This window comes from Homo sapiens, chromosome 4 (genome assembly GCF_000001405.40).
Source record: "Homo sapiens chromosome 4, GRCh38.p14 Primary Assembly".
NCBI classification, from domain to species: domain Eukaryota; kingdom Metazoa; phylum Chordata; class Mammalia; order Primates; family Hominidae; genus Homo; species Homo sapiens.
In genome coordinates this window covers 163,323,110-163,323,961 of record NC_000004.12, presented here as the reverse complement: position 1 = coordinate 163,323,961, position 852 = coordinate 163,323,110, and positions in this window count along the sequence as shown.

Below are 852 nucleotides of genomic sequence, written 5' to 3'. Positions count from 1 at the left end.
GGAGTCTCTTTCAGTTTCATTTTTTCTCATCCCATGACTTCCCTCCCATGGTGTTCCCAAAGCATCCTGTATCTGCTTGCTAATGAAACATAACCACTGATGTGATATAACCATTGATGGCTGTGGTATAACCATCAATGGTTATAACCATTGATGTAGTATAGCCATTAATGGCTCAGTCTCCCTCTCTTGCTAGATCGTAAGCTTCTTTAAGGCAAGAATTGTTTAATATGACTGTCCCCAGTGCATATAGCACAGTGCAAATACTTAGAAGCATTTTCAAAATATATTTCCAAAACAAATGATTAATGACCAAGTTTCCTTCCTTCTCGTTGATAATCTTATTGAACTCACGTCCTGCAGTGTTCTTGGATCCTTCCTCCTAAGTTATTCTTTACCAAGAAGATGTTTTCTCTTTCAATGTATTATTTTCATTTCTAAACTGAGCAAAAGGGCATTTTAGATTTTAGAAATTTGCATGATCAGTCCTGTAACTCAAATGTCACACTTTTTGCATTGAATGGTAATATGAAATAAAATTATGGCCTAAGAATGTCCTTTAGTTAACCAAATTAAAAAAAAAAACAATTCGGCTGGGCACAGTGGCTCACACCTGTAATCCCAGCACTTTGGGAGGCCGAGACAGGTGGATCACGAGGTCAAGGGTTCGAGACCACCCTGGCCAATATGGTGAAACCCTGTCTCTACTAAAAATACAAAAATTGGCTGGGTGTAGTGCTGTGTGCCTGTAGTCCCAGCTACTTGGGAGGCTGAGGCAGAGGTTGCGGTGAGCTGAGATCGTGCCACTGTGCTCCAGCCTGGGCAAAAGAGCGAGACTCCATCTCAAAAATA